Source organism: Homo sapiens, chromosome 1 (genome assembly GCF_000001405.40).
Source record: "Homo sapiens chromosome 1, GRCh38.p14 Primary Assembly".
In the NCBI taxonomy this organism is placed as follows: Eukaryota; Metazoa; Chordata; class Mammalia; order Primates; family Hominidae; genus Homo; species Homo sapiens.
Window position 1 is genome coordinate 180,782,672 of NC_000001.11, and position 19,635 is coordinate 180,802,306.

At 36.3% G+C, this 19,635-nt stretch overlaps 1 protein-coding gene across 4 annotated transcripts in view; it reads left to right on the top strand.

Moving 5' to 3' along the window:
* Window positions 1-19,635, top strand: part of XPR1 (xenotropic and polytropic retrovirus receptor 1) — a 258,258-nt gene that overhangs the window by 150,650 nt on the left and 87,973 nt on the right. For all 4 annotated transcript variants that reach the window (NR_137330.2, NM_004736.4, NM_001135669.2 and 1 more), the window contains exon 3: window positions 5,082-5,183. Coding sequence is in view for 3 of the 4 variants with exons in the window: in NM_004736.4 (NP_004727.2) it covers window positions 5,082-5,183 (102 nt within the window). In the remaining variant the exon portion in view is untranslated. The remainder of the gene's footprint in view (window positions 1-5,081; window positions 5,184-19,635) is intronic.

Sequence of the window (19,635 nt, forward strand, 5' to 3'; positions counted from 1 at the left end):
TTAAAGGCCCTGTCTCCAAATACAAGTCACATTGTGGGGTTAGGGCTCCCACATATGATTTTGGGTACACAGTTCACTTCATAATACCCATGTAGCACGTAGTAGTCACTTTTATACAGTTAATATGTTTATATTCCTTATTTGATAATAAAATACAGTGATTTTTCTATAAAACTTATATTGATATTGGGGTGGGGAAAACTCATGTCACCTAGGCTCTTTGTACCTCAGTTTTCTCATCTATAAAATAACAATATTGGGCTCGTTGATTTTTGAATGCTGAAATTCTCTGATTCTCCAATTCAGAGTTACTGATTTCTAACATTATTCAGCAGGTACATTATAGGAAACATCTTATAATAGAAATTGATGTTCTGTAAATGAGCATTCTATAAGCTTCTCATAACTGAAGTGAAAGGCTTAATCATTCTATATACTGGTATAGATAATCTATTTCCTGTGGTCCCAGCTACTAGGGAGGCTAAGGTGGGAGGATCGATTGAGCCTGGGAGGTTGAGGCTGTAGTGAGCCATGAATGTGCCACTGCACTTCAGCCTAGGTGACACAGCTAGGTGCTGTCTCAACAAACAAACAAACAAAAACTCTATTCAACTAGCTATGCTGGGCTGTTTAGTTTTTATTATGTATAATTTAAAGGTCTGGATATGGTATGTTTCTTTTTTTCTTCCAGTTAATAATATCCTTTATTTATACAGTATAATTTATCCTTTATGAATACCTTTTCATTTTGATGGGTTCAAACAATTTAATAAGTGAAGATAGCAAAATGTGAGAATCCTTCTCATACCTACTCCCCTTTCAAAGGAGGTAACCACAACAGATTGTTATGCATCCTTGCAATCTTTCTATGAATGTACATATGAATATTAACTTATGTACATATTTTCCATTAATGGGATCATGCTATATATATTCTGTTATTTATTTTTTCCTCAACAATGTTTCTTGATTTTTTATACACACCAGGATGTATGTATATTATTTTTTAAATGCTTAATGTTACATAATATCATAATGTACTTAACCACTCCCCTTTTGGACATCAGTTTGTTTCTTTTTCACTATTAAAAATAATGGTAAGGCTGGGCGTGGTGGCTCAAACCTGTAATCCCAGCACTTTGGGAGGCCGAGGCAGGTGGATCACCTGAGGTCAGGAGTTTGAGACCAGCCTGACCAACATGGCGAAACCCCATCTCTACTAAAACTGCAAAAATTAGCGGGGCATGATGGCAGGCACTTGTAATTCCAGCTACTTGGGAACCTGAGACGGGAGAATCTCTTGAACCCGGAAGGTGTAGGTTGCAGTGAGCCGAGATCATGCTGTTGCATTCCAGCCTGGGTGACAGAGCAAGACTCTGTCTTAAAAAAAAACAAATGGTGAATGAATATCCTTGGAAATACAGCCATTTGTATAGAGATTCCTTTAGAATACATTTCCTACATGTGGGATTAAACACTGAAAATTTTAATAGCTATTGCCAAATTGTCTTCCTAAAATTTACATTTCCATCAACAAGGAATGAGTGTGTTCATTTATCATTACCATTGCCACATGATACCACTGTTTTAAAACTCTTTCTAACCTGATGGTTGAAAAGCTATATTTCCTTTTTTAAAAAAGTTGCATTTATATGACATCTGGCATCCTTTCATTGGTTCATTGGCCATTTATATTTCTTTTTCTATGAAATGCTGTAATTTACCTACTTATGGAATCAAATATCTTTTTAATATTGACTTGTAATAATTTTTAAAAATATATTTTGCATGTTAATCATTTATTTTAAATGTTGTAGATATATATTTATGCTGCTTCTCTTTTAACTTTGCTTGTGGTGTTTTATGGAATGGAAATTTTTTATTTTCTGAAAGTGTCAATCATTTCCTTTATGGCTTCTGTGTTTTGTGTAATATTAAGAAGGCCTTCCCCATGTGGAATTATTGAAATGTTCTATTTTTTATAGTATTTTATATCATCTCTTTAACTCCATTTTGAGTTTCTTCTAAATTGATGGCTGGTTCACCCAGCCCTATTGATGTATAATTCATTCTTTTCTCACTGAGATTTGAAGCCTCCTTTATTGTAATCTAAATTTGTATACATTATGCAGATTTACTTCTAGACTCTGTATTCTGTTCTTTTTGCTGTGTTTTTCTCATTTATTTACTAAAAGTATACTTTTAATTACAGTAGTTTACCAAGTCTTTTGAAATCTGAGAAAACAAAAACATTGTCCTTCATTTAGCTTATTTTGCACACAATTCTTGCTGTTTTATTTATATTTTTTCGCCTGTTAGTTTTTTTCGTGTGTGTGTGTTTGTGTGTGTGTGTGTGTGTGTGTGTGTGTGTGTGTTACTATAACCTTACTCTACCTTCTTCTGATTAATGGCTATTTTATGTCTGAACTAGAAAACTAAACAAACTGCCAGTATTTTAGATAAAACAATCTCTCTCTCTCTTTTTTGTTTCCTTTTGAGATGGAGTCTTGCTCTGTCACCCAGGCTGGAGTCCAGTGGTGGGATCTCAGCTCACTGCAACCTCCACCTCCTCCCAGGTTCAAGCAATTCTCCTGCCTCAGCCTCCCGAGTAGCTAGGATTACAGGCACGAGCCACCATGCCCAACTAATTTTTGTATTTTTAGCAGAGACAGGACAGGGTTTCACCATGTTGGTCAGGCTGGTCTCGAACTCCTGACCTCAGGTGATCCCTCTGCCTTGGTCTCCCAAAATGCTGGGATTACAGGCATGAGCCACCACACCCAGCCAGATAAAACAATCTTTAAAGCAAAGAAATAAATTCTTAGGAGACTGATTCATGGGTAGAATATTCATGCTTTAACACATGAAGTTTATGTATATTTTAGTTTCTCAGAGGCCTGGATTTTTTGTTTCTGAATTCTTGGTGATACTATAAATAGTTGATGTTGAATATACAACCTATGTGAACGTTAATATATATTAAAAATTATTTTAGAAGAGAAGCTATGTTTGAATCATTTTGCTGAACAATTGTATTTCTATTGCTTTATGTTAATAAAACTTGTCTGTTAAGAGGAAAACACAGTAAATACGACCAAGCCCATGTTTTGCTTTTGGGTTTTCTTTCCTAACAATAGAGAATAAAATAAAAATAATTAGATAATTAAGTAGAATAAGCTGTTACTCTTATTTTATATCAGCTATAGCTAGATGTTAGTTATTATAAGAGCTGCATCTGTTACCATAGAGCTTCCTTAACGCAAACTCAGCTTTAAAAAAAAAAAAAAGCAAGGGAAAAAGAAAAAGAGAAAGCTGTGACCTGCTTCATGCTTTGAAAAAAATAATTCCCGGTGACCTTGGGCAGCTATAGCCCTTATTGTACCTAGATTGCGGAGTTTAAAGTGGCCATCCTGTTTTACTCTAGAATCAATACAACATCCTGCATTATCTGATCAGGTCTAAAGCACATGAAATAGAGAAGCAGGTATGTGTAAATAAAAGTTTTGTGCAGTCTTATTCAAATAAAATAAATAGATTCAGCATGCTTTTTAGAACCTTAAGCTTTTGTTTTTCTTTAAAATATCTCTGGTACTACAAATTATACCATGCAATAATATGAATTTATGTATGTGTGTATGTGTCTCACATACTACTTTTGGACCATTTTCCTTATTCCTAGACAGTTGGATTATTTTAAGAGTTTCTGGGTCTGCACTGAGTTTTGGGGGACCCGGGGCTCAGAAAGGAATCTATACTTTTTCTACACTTTTCAATCTTAGAGTACCTTAGAGATCCAGGAATAGGATAGTTCTGTATTATTAATTTTATTAGCGTCTAGAGAGTCTAAATAGATCTCACTTGGCCGAGAAACATACCCTTTTAGGCTTGGGGTTCCTGAAGTTACATATATCTCTACATATGGGATTCAGTAGGTTGATAGGCTATGTGACAGAACTGAGAAAGTGGATCCAGCCTGCAGAAACATGTATTGATTGGCCCACACAGTGTTTTTAAAATATCTGGATTTATAGCTTCTCCTGAAAAATGGAAAGATTTGACAAACTGGGCCCACATCACCACATGGCAGCAACTAGACAGACATATGCTTTCCAGCTTGTCAGAATCCCAACCACTCCTTCTCCTGAAGGTGTCACTTTGTCATTTCTCACCACATTTGCACAATCATCTACTTGCCCAACACATTTATGTTACCTTCCCAGCTCCTGAAGGTTTGGAACTTGTAATTTACACTCTTCAGTGCAGACTTCTTTCTCTGTATGTGGTACAGTTAAAGTAAAAATAAATAGCCATTTAACATAGAACAAAATCAACTCGTTTTTCCCAGAAACACATTATACATTCATGTCTTCATACCTTTGCTTTGCATTTTTTCCTTCCCTAAGATATTTATTCTCTTGCTGAATGAATTCTACTCAGCTCAGCTCCTAGTACCTTGAATTTTACTTGATCAATTCTGTCTACAGTTTTTTTTCTCTTCTAAAGTCTTAGAACACTTGTTTTCTCCAACATTGTAAATTTATTATAGTAGAGCTTTAGGAAAGTCTCATTCACTTAAAGAAGGTTTGTGTGTGGTCTTACAAAGAGGTTTTTTTTGTTTTTTTTTTGTTTTTTTTGTTTTTGTTTTTTTGAAACGGGGTCTTGCTCTGTCACCCAGGCTGGAGTGCAGTGGTGCAATCTTGGCTCACTGCAACCTCCACCTACCTCAGCCTCCAGAGTAGGTGGGATTACAGGCACCCACCACCACACCCAGCTAATTTTTATATTTTTAGTAGAGACGTGATTTCACCATTTGGCCAGTCTGGTCTTGAACTCCTGACTTCAAGTGATCTGCCCGCCTCGGCCTCCCGAAGTACTGGGATTACAGGCATGAGCCATCGCACTCGGCCTGAAAAGGTCTTTGAGTAGTCTTTTCTTAATATGGTTCACAGTTCACTTTTTCAGAGAAATACATATAAAGTTGTCATTTTAAAAACTCAAAAAGTAATCTTAGTTTTTGTTTCCTTAGTTTTCTCAATTGGCCTTTGGACATTAAATTTAAATATTGTTTTCCTGTCTTTCAGTTACAGATGAGGACACAGTAAAGAGGTATTTTGCCAAGTTTGAAGAGAAGTTTTTCCAAACCTGTGAAAAAGAACTTGCCAAAATCAACACATTTTATTCAGGTGAGTAATTAAGAGACTTTTTTTTTTGCTGCCGGGGAAGGATAAATTGTACCATATCATTGTTTAAACTTCTGATCAATGTTTTTAAATTGAGTCTTGTTTTCCTTACTATACTGCACTTAAGAGGATTTTCTTGAGCTGGGATAAGAACACGTCTGGTTTCTCAATGTTTAAGCTTTCTGTGGTCATTGCCTAGAAACTCTTGCAGTCAAAAGGATATTGGGACTTCGTTGAGAGGCAATACCTCGGTAGAGCTTCACTGTGGCCCAGTTCAAAGCTTGAAGAGTCAGAAACTTGATTTTATCATTTTGGCCAGAGATGAATTACACAGTTCCAGCTTATCAGTGATGGCAGTTTTATACCTTTTCATTGCCTAGAACACTTATACTTATTTCTCTAAAGCACTGGCCTCCAGAGTGGCATCTACAGTATGCCACTCGAATGTGAGAATAAAATATTGGAACTTATATATATATTTATGTCTGACTCTTTTGAACTTTATTTTTTGTACATGTATGTTGCAATGTACATAATATACATTAGTAAAACAATGTCTTTATAGTGAAAAATTTTGGAAACTTTAGAGCACTACCGTAGACATCAGGAGTCCTGTGAGACCTAGTTAATAATCAGATAGTTTCATGAGTACAGAATCTGAACAAAGTGAGTTAGATTCAGAAGGATATTTCATCTAGACTCTGGAAATGTTACACATAGTTCCTGTTACACCGCCAGATATACAGCCTAATAGCTGGAATACCTATCCTATTGAATGTAATGTATCTATTCCCTGAGCAGTAATTGATGAAAAAAAAAGTAGTCTGTAATTTTATTTAATATCCAAAATATAAAATTACTCTATTTTTTATTTTCATATTTAATATGCACATTACATGCCTGCTATTGAGAATATATTCTCATCTCTTGGCAAAGACTTTGGAAATACCATAATCTTATAACTAGCACAATCATAAACCAGGTATTAGTGTGAATTAGTCTAAAGATGAATAGTTTCATGACTTTACTAATTTGTTTTTCGGATGATTTTTTTCCTGGCTTGTCCACAACTTCTGGAAGCATCTTACTCAGATATCCTTTTTCAGCATCTTACTCAGATATCCTTTTTCAGCAGCCCCTTCAACTAGAGGCTGATCATTCTCTTTTATAGAGTATTGGGAGACAGGAGATGGAAAAAGGTAAAAAGAGTCAGTGAGAAACAGCTGCCAGAAGACAAGAGACTGAGTCCAGCATTCTCTTAGCTATCATTGTTCTTCCAAATCAGTATTTCTGTGTATTTCTATAAAAATGAATCTTCTTCTAAGCATCAGTATTGTTCTATTTCTGCCACTCCTATTTGTTAGCATCTACTGACCTCTTGGTTGCTCACTGTGAACTTAGACTCCTGGCTCCCAGTCTGAATAAATCTCTATCTTAATTTTTCATATCATGCTGGATGACTTCATTGTCCTTGTGGACAGTCATTTTCAGTTACACTGTACTTTAGCCCCATACACACATAGCCATACCCATCACCCAGAATTCCTCTCCTCTAAAATACTAAAACCTAATACGAGTCTATGACCATGTCTCCTAGCCTTTTAGCTTTTTACTCCCCTACTCCTTTAACATCTGTTTTTCCATCTCACAGAGCTCTAGTTTCTTGACTCTCCCATTTTATTTCAGTTTATCATACATGTCTTAGAATTATTTCCTACTCTTTTTTTGTCTTCTTTTTTCCTTTTTTTTTGGAGAATGGGGTCTTGCTATGTTGCCCAGGCAGGTCTTGAATTCCTGGGCTCAAGCTGTCTTCTTGCCTCTGTCTTCCTAAGTGCTAGCATTATAGACATGGCCACCACACCCAGCCAGAATTATTTTCTTCTCCATCAATCATTTTAACCATTTTGACCCCTGTGTTTTTAATCCCTTTACCCTCATTGCCTTATGTTGCATCTGCCTAGTAAAACTCAACCAATTCATCCTTTACCTTCTTCATGCCTACCCCAGAGGCTGCGTAGGACAACAGCAGAATAAATTGGAACCACTGTAAATTTGTTGTTGCACCTGTAACTGTGCCCTCAAAGCTTCCTGTGGGTCCTAATCAATATCATTTTTCATGCTCCAAAGTGCTTTTGTAAACCTTATATCATTCTCCAGAATTCTCTAACCCCACCATCTTCCCTGTCATGCTCATTATACCCCCAGCTTTACAAATAAAAATAAAGGCCATCAGCTTCTGTTGATGTATAATACCATGCAGATATATGGTATTATATCTGCATCTCTCTCCCAAATGCCTATAGACATTCTCATCCTTATTTATTTTCCTCCAATCTTTGTAGAAGAGATATCCCTCTTTATTCCACGGGAGATCTTTACGACTACTGACTAAATTTCAACTCTTCAAGACCTTGCTCCAGTAATTATTTCCTCTAAGAATTATTAAATAAATATATTTAACTTCCCTTTATACCAATTCAATCTCCTTAGCAAGTCATTCCCTTCAAAAAAAAAATGAGCAAGCAAATTTCTTAACTTTATATCCTCCCCCTCATCTTTCATTTGTAGCTGGGCTTTTTCCTTAGGCAGAGGGAACAGTTTATATACAAGCAAGAGCCATGAAAGAACATGGCATATATGCATGTCTCTTTCACCAGGATACAGGCACCTAGAAGACAGAGACAAAATATACATTTTCTTTTTTTTGAGACGGAGTCTCACTCTGTCGCCCAGGCTGGAGTGCAGTGGTGCGATCTTGGCTCACTGCAAACTCTGCCTCCCGGGTTCACGTCATTCTCCTGCCTCAGCCTCCCGAGTAGCTGGGACTACAGGCACCCACCACCATGCCCAGCTAATTTTTTTTATATTTTTAGTAGAGACGGGGTTTCACCGTGTTAACCAGGGTGGTCTTGATCTCCTGACCTCGTGATCCGCCTGCCTCAGCCTCCCAAAGTGCTGGGATTGCAGGTGTGAGCCACTGTGCACAGCCAAAATATAAATATTATTTAAAGCCATGCAAACAGGTAGATTTTCTGTATGGGAAAAATATACAGAAAGGATTTCAGTGTTCTCAAGAAGAAAGATAATTTCTATAATTAGGAGATAGAAAGATAAAGAGGAACCAGCAATGTAGACAGAGAAGACCATATAGCAGGAGGAGGAGGAGGAAACTAAAAGAGGAGGGCATTTGCAGTGAAACAAATGTCTAGATTGAGAAAGCGTATTGGAAATGATGTAAGGCTGTAGACTATGAATATATAAAATCAAGTTTATTAGCTTTTTTCTTTTACTATGACATTTTTTGAAAAAGAAGGATCTCTAAGCTCAATTCTAAATGGATGATTTGTATCACAAAGAATAGAAAATGCTTCTTTGTTTATGAAGAAAAATATCTACTCTTGGTAGTAGATACTTTGTTTTTTTTGTTTGTTTGTTTTTGAGACAGGATCTCACTCTGTTGTCCAGGCTGGAGTGCAGTGTCATGATCTCGGCTCACTGCAACCTCTGCCTCCCAGGTTCAAGTGATCCTCCTGCCTCAGCCTCCAGCATAGCTGGTACTACAGGCATGCACCACCACACCTGGCTAATTTTTTATTTTTATTTTTGGTAGAGATGGGGTTTCACCATGTTGGCCAGGGTGGTCTCGAACTCCTGACCTCAGGTGATTCACCCACCTTGGTCTCCCAAAGTGCTTGGATTACAGACATGTAGATACTTTATTTTGAGTTATAGTAAAAAAAAATGTACATTATGACCCAGCACACATATACAGATAAATGTTTGTTTTATATATGTTTGTATGCATCTATATGTGTGTGACTACACAATATATTTAAATAATTTAAGATATTTTTTCATGAAACAGTACATCTTTAGTACTTGTAGTATATTGTTTTCTATATTTTTCTATTCTATTTGATTTTTTAAATGCTAATTATGATCCACTAAATTGGTTTTATGACCTCATATTGGGTTGCAACCTTCAGTTTGAAACATGATTTCTTTAAGTTAGGTCGCTTCTCAAAAATAATTTTAGGCTAGCTACTATTAAAAATTTTGGTGCTGTAATTTGATGACTTCCTGTTTTGTGTGTGTATTGGCAGGGCCAGTGAGGCACGTCTCTTGATGTCCTCACTGGTACAAATTGGTAGTCTCTAGAGTGACTCCTGCCAGATCAGGAAGTGGTAGGTAATACGAAGAAATGATTCACAGAAATAGAATTTGTTTCTGGTCCTCAACAGTATCTTTTTTCCCTCATTTAGCCACCTTCTCCCCAGAAGATTGTAGACTGCAGTTGTCAGACACTAGGGCACAAGAAAAACTATAAACAATATGGGGTGAGTTGAGCTTAATAACTCACCTCCACCCACTTATATCTCACACATTAAATAGCTAAAAATGCTCCATTTTTAAGTGAGATATTTTTGACTAAAACCTTTCAATGTCCCTAAACAAATTGCTATATTTTATTTTGTCTGTTTCTAGTCATATCAAAAAGGCCAAACAATCAAAATATAGCATGAATGCTGCTAAAATTTGGAATTTTTTTCTTGCCGATGCTATTTACTGTTTAACCTTCCTAGGCTTCCACACACTTGCTTATAAAACAAACAGATTGATTCCCAACCCTCTAGGGTTCCACATGTTAGGATCAGAAGCTATTTTCAATATTCAGAAAACCTGATGTAAGTTACTTTGTTAGTCTTTATTGTTTATTATGTATCTTTGGTTAAAAAATTGACATTTATTTAGATTTATAGATAAAATCAGTATTTGAAGATCATAGGAAGAGAAGGGAATTGTGAAAGGGAGGGGTCCTTTGTGGTAAAAACATTGCTAATCCCTAACCTAGAAGTCTCTTAGTTCTCTTCTGTCACTAAAAATGGTATCAATCATGAAGGCTATACCGTTAGAAACCTTTTTTTTTGTGGTGATCAGTAATGTCTTTTTCCAGTGGACAAGTGATCCAACTGATCACTTTTTTCAAACCAGTTTGCCTTTTCTCTTTATTCAAAATACTTAGTTTCTAAACAGTGTTTATTTGCCTAATGTTAAAAAAAAAGTCAGAATATATGTGTTGCTTCTAATATTTCACAAAACAGTCAAGCCTTTTTTATTGGCTGGAATTTTGAAATAGCTAAGTGCTTTTTCTTTGTTTTTGAATAACTTCTTTTTTTTCTGGGTGACTTTTTTGACTTCGGTTACATTGGGAAGTCATAGCAGTGTTACATCCTTTTTCTTTACTAAAAAGGAAGGAAAGGAGGGAGAGAGGGAAGAAGGAAGGTAATTGCATTGGTGTTTTATTAGTAGGATCTTGCCTGTAGAATATTTTCTTGTTTCATATAAATGCAAGACCGATTAGATAATAGTTACTAAGAGCTATTCTTATTATATAGTTATTCCTGTTATTCCTGTAATCCTGTTTTACAATGTCTTGCTGTATGTTTTTATTATTGATTTATATTGTTTTTATACAAGAGGAATTTGAGGCACTGAATATTGTTATACCACTAAATGTGTGCAATGAATCATGAGAATCTTTTACACTGAAATAGTAAATGTTCATTTTACAAATGATACATGTGTCTAGTATGCATGTATTTAAACTATGACTTAATGGCTGGTTTTGTTCTTTGCTCATGTGTGTGTTAAAATGTAGATTAAGTAGGTATTTTTAATGAGAGTGGTCATAGGTTGGTATATTGTTTTAAATTCCCATGTGTTAACGTATCTTCCTGTGTCATGATTCTCTTGAGTTCATTACAGTAGAATCAGTTACTTAAGAACTGTTTAAAGGAGCAGGGAGGGTAGTAGGGGAAGTGAAATTAAAGCAGCCACTCTTGCTTGCTTTGTTGTTAATACATCTGAAGGAAATTACAATTACAATATTTATATTGTCCACAATAAATTTTCCTTTCTTTATTTTGTTAAAAAAAAGTGTTTTATAAGCATCTATTAAAAACAAGCCACGTGAAAACCACCCTCATTTTCTTTCTCTCCTTTTTTTCTCTTTCCTTCCTTCCTTCTGTCTCTCTCCTATTTTTCCTTTTTTCTTTCTGAGACTGAAAGAAAGGATGAGGAATGTCTATGGTCATGAGTAACACAATTTCCAAATGGCATCTTCACAAACAAACACAATATCATGTAAATAATGGGTTTTTTTTAAATTGTAGGTCACAACCCAATAAATTGGTCAGAAAATGAAAATATAGTTACGTGTCACTTAATGACAGGGATAATTCTGAGAAATGCGTCATGAGGTGATTTCATTTTGGGAACATCATGTGTACTTACACAAACCTAGATGGTATATCCTATTACACATGTAGCATATATAGTATAGCCTGTTGCTCCTAGGCTACAAAACTGTCCAGCATGTTACTACAGAGAATACTGTAGGCAATTGTAAAACAATGGTAAATATTTATGTATCTAAATATAGAAAAGGTACAGTAAAAATAAAGTATTATATCTTATGGGACTACTGTTGTACATGCTGTCAGTCGTTGACCAGAACGTTGTTCTGTGGCACTACGACTGTACGTGGGTCATCACAGGCATTTTTTAAAAAATATAGATAGAATATAGTAGAATAGAAAGTATCACAGTGTTATTTACTAAATACACCTGTTGTGTGTATTTACAAATTACATGTACTTTTTAAAGTTTATGTGCAATATGACATTTAGTATTTTACAGTTATGCAAAGTACTGTGAAAACTGACATGAAGAAGCCTTGAATTTACTTGGAGGAAGAAAGTGGGATTGAGGAAAAGCCTTTAGAAGAAGTGAAATTTAAATTGGGTCTTTGAAAATGTGTAGGCATTAGCCAAATGCTCTTAAGGGAGGTTGTTTGGGGATGGCTGTAGGGAGAGGTGGGATTTAGTGCTCCAGAGCAAGGGAAAAAATCTATCCAGATGCACAGTGGTGTTAAAGTACATGACATATTTGGGGATGAAGACAATAACAAATAGTCTTTTGAGGCTGAAGTTGTAAGATATTAAGGAGTGAGTTGCTGGTTAGAGAGAAAAGTGGAAAAATTAGATGTTTTATTCACATACAGATTTCAGACTTTGGTATTTGAGGTACACAGTTTCAAGTAGTAAGAATTCCAGATAAAAGATAAAAGCAGTATAAAAAATGCATGTAATGTAACAAAGTTAACTATCTTGAATCATCTGTGATGGGTCAACATTCTCATAAACTTACTTTATATTTTGAATAACACCAAGGTCCATAAATTGAATTAGCAAGATGGTAATATTGTAAGACAGGTAAACAAATAATAAAAATATTCTAAGACACTAATTTGATTTTAGAAAGAGTTATTCTTCAATTGCATAACAACATAACAGCTTTGCCATTCTGAAGATAGCTTGTAGTTCTTGAAATAACTTTTTCTAAAAGTAAAAGAACGATGAATTTGGTGAAAGCAAAATATATTGCTAACCCTTATTCTAGCTCTTTGAGGGATACATAGGTGCTTTGAAAATTCTTGAATGGTTATTGGAAATTTTTATCAAATATTTAGTATGAGAGCTTATGGCGTTAACATATTATTAAAATAATAATATTTGTTCTCATATTCAGGTCACTTGATTTACTGGCATAAGTAGAAATTGTAGTTTATTGGCAAAATAGTCTGTTTTCATCAATATTATAAAATTGCTTAGAAATACTGTGTGTAATATTTTTTCAGATAGCTTCTAAGTTGTTAGGACATAAATACTTAAGTTGTTTGAACCTGACTACTTAATAAATAGAAACATTAGGTATTTCTTTTGTCCTAGAAGCATCATGAAAGTATTACTGAGACACAAAGTATGCCGTGAACCAAGAAAGAACTTAGAAGTTCTACACTGTTTTTGGTCTTGAGGATAAGACAGACACATTTGCAATAGAAATGTTTAACATATGTAAAAAGAGCCCTGAGATTCATTCATTCACTCATTCACTTATTTATTTATTTATTTTGAGACGGAGTCTTGCTTTGTCACCCAGGCTGGAATGTGGTGGTGCGATCTCAGCTCACTGCAACCTCTGCCTCCCAGGTTCAAGCAATTTTCTGCCTCAGCCTCCTGAGTAGCTGAGATTACAGGTGCCCACCAGCACACCTGGCTAATTTTTTTGTATTTTTAGTAGAGACGAGGTTTCACCATCTTGACTAGGCTGGTCTTAAACCTCCTGACCTCGTGATCCACTCACCTCGGCCTCCAAAAGTGCTGGGATTACAGGCGTGAGCGACTGCGCCTGGCCTCATTTTTATTTTTGTAAGTGTATTTGTAGATTTTCATCATAGATCAAAGTATACACTTTTATATATACACACACACACACTTTTCCAGGTTCTGTGCAGTCCCATGTGTTTGAGCTTTCTGGCGATCTGGCTCTAGAAAACTGAAGTGTCATTGCAAAATAGATTGGGATACTTGGTGTCAAAAGCAGTATTTCTTATTCTTTTTAAACCTATACCCCTTTGATAGATATGAAAATCTCATACCATAGCTGTAGTAATATTGAATATGATTTTTTCAAACTACATATGGTTTATATTCCCCTACCCCCACCTACGGATTCTCATAGGCTCCTCTACATAGTTATGCCCTTAAGGAAGAGAGTCATTACTTTAAAGAAAGTAGCAAAATACACCTGAAATGTTGATTTCTTCATCATTTCTATATGGGAATGTAGGCTACTAGAGAGAACTTTTACCTATTTATTCATTCAGCAAACATGGATTGAGTATACTGTATGCAAGCTCTTTATGGTACAAAGATAATGATGATAGGCCACGCAAAAACTTGTATGAGAGTGTTAACAGCAGCATTATTTACATAGTTTAAAAAACTAGAAACAATTCAAATGTCTGCAGACTGAAGATATTTAAACAAAATATAATCGCTTCTCGGCCTTTTGGCTAAGATCAAGTGTAAACAAAATATATATCCACAGAATGAAATACTATTTGGCAATAAAAGGAACTCAGTATAACAGACTTACATTATGATACAAAATGGATGAAACTCAAAATCATCCTGCTAAGTTAAAGAACCCAAACACAAAAGATTATATATTGTATGATTCTTTTACATGAAATGTTCAGAAAAGGCAAATCAGCAGAGACAGAATACAGATCAGTGTTTGCCTGGGGTAGGGGGTGGAAGTGGGGATTGACAGCTAATGGCCATGATGGAAGTATAGGAGGTGACAGAAATGTTCTAAAATTGGATTTTTATGATGATTGCACAACTCTATAAATTTACTGAAAGTCAATGAATTGCATGTTTACAGTAGATGAATCCTATGGTAGGTAAGTTATACCTCAAACAAATTATTTAAAATAAATTTTCATTATAAAAAAAGATAAAGATTTTAGAACTGTTACCTTTAGAGTTCAGTCAGTCAGTGAAGCAAACATAAACAAAGAATTATATGCAGTGTGCTTTGGCTGCATGTATGTGGTCCCATACAAGCCCTAAGGTGGGAGTTTCATTTGTGACTGAGAGAGTTGTTAAATATGAAAAACTTTATATAGAAAGCAGTGTTTGAGATTAGCCTTGCAAAACGAGTAAGGAGTTTTCCAGATGGAGAGGCATTTGTGTCTTGACTTATTGTTGGCACACAGGAAGTAACAGGTCCTCTTTCTTTTCATTTTTGGGCTTCTTACATTTTTAATATGCATGTAATGAGAAGAGTAAATGTATTGACAGTTCTGACTGAGGACATTAAACAATTAGCAAATTTATATACTAATCTTTTAACAATTAAAGTTAAGCAATTTTATTACATATGATATTCTGTTTTCTGGCTAGTTTACCTGCAGTTTTTAGTCAGCAGAATAATTTATAGTGGCCCTTAGATAAATCCTTGTATTATTTCATTTTATGTTTGTGTGCATATTGTATGTAGTATTTTTTCAGGTAGCTTCTAAGTCATTAGGACATAAATACTTAAGTTGTTTGAACCTGATTACTTAATAAATAGAAGCATTAGTTATTTCTTTTGGCCTAGAAGCATCATGAAAATATTACTGAAACGCTAAGGGCATCATGAACCAAGAAAGAACCAAGAAGTTCTATACTGTTTTGATCCTAAGGATGATAAGACAAACACATTTACAATAGAAATGTTTAACATGTGTAAAAGGAGCCCTGAGATTCATTTTCTGTTGACTTAAATAAGAGATTTTAAAATATATGAATTGTTCTGTTTTTTACAATATGGAAGACTGGAAAGAAATCCTAATAATCTCTTACTTCAAAACACTAAAGTGATACATAAAAAATACAAAATTATCAGGAAAATAATAAAAATATATATCTAATATGATTAAAAATGTAAAGGAGAGCATGAAAACCATAAACAAAGAAGAAATCATTAAAATTGACTAGGCATTTTTTTTAAAGGACCAATTAGATCTTTTACAAATGAAAATATAATCACGGAAGTTAGTATCTTAATAGATCAATCAAACTGTAGATTTAGGTAGACTTAAAGGGACAATTTATAAACTGGAAGATAGAGCTGAAAATTTACTCAGAATGCAACACAAATCGATAAAGAGAAGAAAATATGAGAGTTGTAAGAGACAAAGTAAAAAGGTCAAGGGGTTATAATTGGTATCTTTATTTTCCCAAGACCCGTTCCATATTTCCTTTGCCCTCAGCCAGAACCCCAACTGGTTATTAGGTGAGATGACCTAGACTTTAATTCCTAGAGGATCTGAATCTCAGTAGTTCTTTTATTAATTGCTGTAGGGTTTTTTTGTTTTTGTTTTTGAGACACAGTCTCACTCTGTCACCCAGGCTGGAGTGTGTGGTGGCACAATCTCGGCTCACTGCAACCTCCACCTCCTGAGTTCAAGTGAATCTCATGCCTCAGCCTTCTGAGCACCTGGAATCACAGGCGTGCAGCACCACACCCTGCTAATTTTTGTAATCTTGGTAGAGATCTGATTTTACCATGTTGGTCAGGCTGTTCTCCAACTACTGGCCTCAAGTGATCCACCTGCCTCAGCCTCCCAGAGTGTTGGGATTACAGGTGTGAGCCACCATGCCCGGCCTGTTGTAGTTTTCCATTAACATATATTATTGGTCATGGAAGTAATGGGAGGTGTTCCAGAATCTCCTGGGTTCCAGAGCTTGTTGCTCCTATTATGTTTCAGCAGTTCACTTTTCCCTTGGTAATCAGGATCAGTCAAGGGGTTTACTTTTAGCCAGTAAACCCCTTCTTTGCCATTGTTTCATTAGTACAAAGAACCCAAAATGGCCAGGTGACAGTTTCATCTTCCAATTCAGTAGAACCATTGTTGTATTCCTCTGATGGAAGCATTTTCCCCTTGAGAACTAACCAACAGTCAGAGTTTAAGTTGTAGATTGGGAAGCAAAAATTATGTGAGTGGATTATTACTTACAGTATTGAGAGGAACCACTCCTACTTCTACCCCTTGATTCCTAGACTGGATATTTTGGTTATGTTGGGGACTTATGGCCTCATTATTGTATCCTGTAAAACAGAACCCCATCCTTTCAGAGTCTTGTCTCCCAACTTTTCTGTTAGGCCATTGATCAGCTTTTCTATTAGGCCATCTATTTCTGGGTATATAGTAAAAGACCATTTTCTTCCATGGCTATGAGCCCATTGCTTTACTGTCTTTGCTGTGAAATGAGTTCCTTGATCAGAAGCAAGGCTGTATAGAATACCATGATAGTGGATAAAGCATTTCAGGAGATGGTGGTGCTGGAGAAGCATTATGGGTGGAGAAGGTACATCCATATCAAGAATGCTTTTATTCCAGGGAGGACAAATCTCTGCCCACTGCCTAATAGAAGGCATCCAACACAATCAACCTGCCAGTAGGTAGCTGGCCAGTCCCAGGGGTGACTCTGGGGTTCAGTGCTAGTCTCTGCTGCCTGGTGAGTAGCTGCATTATCAGATGTGTAGCTGCATGCCAGGGGCTAGAGGTTGTATTGATTTTCCTCAGTGAAAATACCATATCCGGAATAGCAGCTGCTATCACAGAGACCACCTAGTTTACACAATCCAGTTATTCACCAAGATTCATCCAACTTGCGTAAACAAATGAGTTAAGAGAGGATGTGGTAGGTATCCTATCCCTTTGTCTTTAAAGTCTGTGATTGTTGTACTAATTTCTGCAGTTCTATCTTGATAAGGAAAAGTTCCAGGAACTGTTATAGCCCTTTCTTCATCATGTTCCTTCCTTCATCATATTTCTTACCTGTGGTTCAGAATCACTAGAGAGTCTACCAGTGGCCTAGTAGGTCTATTCCAATTATACATCTTGGAACTGAAAAAGGAATCATAGGATGAATCTGTGGACCAGCTGGGTCTTTTGTGAGTCTCATCTGGGCTGATATTTCATCTGTCACCTGAATATCATAAATGTATAGTTTGATTGCTAAACCACAGTGGTGCCTGGAGTCTCCAGAAGTTTGTCACTCCTAGGGAAAAAGATTCAAAGTATGAGAGGGACTTGAAATGAGCAAGTTTCTCCATTGCTGACTTTGAAGATAGGGTTAAGAGTAGTCTCGAAGAGCTAAAAGCAGACCACAGATGAGAGCCAGCAAGGAAACAGTCTTAAAACTACAAAAAACTGAATTCTGCCACAACCAAGTGAGCTTGAATGTGAGCTTGAGAAAGCAGCCTAGCTAACACCTTGCGTTTAGCCTTAGGAGAGCCTGACAGAGAACCTAGCCACATCATGCTTGGACTTCTAACCTACAAAACGGTGAGCTAATAAATGGGGTTTCTTTAAGGCACTATGTGTGTGGTAATTTGTTATACAACAATGCAAAGCTAATATACAAAAGCCAATGACGAGTAATCTTTGCAAAGTCTGGATATTTCCTTTTCCTCAGTGCACAGTCACTCTAGTAAATAGACACGAGGCCCTTTGAGGAAGGATTAGAGGAAGATCTACAGTATATACTTGTGGCAGTGCTACAGGAACCACCCGAAAGCAAGGCCAGCTTCCACTTCAGTCAGGGGTCTTGGGTTTTTGAACTAGCGTTGATCTGGAAGCTGGTAAGAGGTAGTGACTCTCTGTTGTAGTGACTAATATCAAGTATTTGGCCACCAGACCTGGAGTTTTTTTCTGTTACATCAATTAAGCAATATTCTAGTAGGTTGCCCATTTCTGTCTTTCCTAGGGATAACCATGATCAATTAACCACAGCCAAAATCTCTGTGTGCAAAAACATCTGTCCTGTTGCCTTTTATGGTAAATGCACCCACCTTGTTTTGATAGTTAAGTGCTGCCATCTGGCCTTTCTGTTCCAAGGATCATTGAATGTGCATTGCAATCAGGGAACCCATCTCAATAGATACATCTCTCATGGCCATTCCTGGCCTTCACTGGGGAGTAAACATAGAGCTTTTTAAGGATGCAGGTGCTCTCCTCACTAACGTAATTCTGGATGCCTTAATGAAGGGAGTATTTTCTGGGCCCCCTCAGGGGGATGTGATTGGTGTTGGAGAGGCGTAAGAGTGGTCCCTAGGAGCTAAAAGCAGGTCCCAGATGGGTTGACCCACATAAATGGATGAAATTTATTTGGAAAGAGGAATGGAAACATGATTTTTGTTTTGAATACAGTCTTAGATCATAGGAAATACAAGAAGATATAAATAGATTATAAAAGTTAAGAAAATGAAGGTCATGTAAAGGATTAAGAATAGAGATGAATCTTGGAAACATCCTATAGAAGGAAATTCTCTAGGAGAAAGAGAGAGTGAATCATTAAGCAGTGCCAGACAGGACAAAAATACTAAAGATTGATTGAAGACAACAGCAAGACAGTATAGCAGTAGATAAAGCAAGGAATAGGAGAATTATGAGAAAGCATAAGTTGTAAATAATTCTTTGTTATTATTATATAATTTTTATCATTATTTATTGAGTGCTATGTCCCTTGGCATTTTTTTTTTTTTGAGACAGTGTCTCACTCTGTCACCCAGGCTGGAGTGCAGTGGCACAATCTCGGCTCACTGCAGCCTCTGCTCACTGCAACCTCTGCCTCCCGAATTCAAGCAATTCTCTTGCCTCAGCCTCCCAAGTAGCTGGGATTACAGGAATGCACCACCACGCCCGGCTAATTTTGTATTTTTAGTAGAGACAGGGTTTCACCATGTTGGCCAGGCTGGTCTCGAAATCCTGACCTCAGGTGATCCACCTGCCTCAGCCTCCCAAAGTGCTGGGATTACAAGCATGAGCCATTGCACCCAGCCGGTCCCTTGGCATTTCTATGCCTCATTTAATCTTTACAACCACTTTATGAGGGAGTTGGTATTTCCATTTCATCTATGAAAGGTGTAGAAGAGTTATTAAAAAAAAAAAACTTGACTAAAATCATACAGCTAGTTAATGAGGCAAGGATTTGAACCCAAATCTGCCTGGTTCCAGTGAACTGAATTGTGACCTTGGAAGAAAAATACAGAG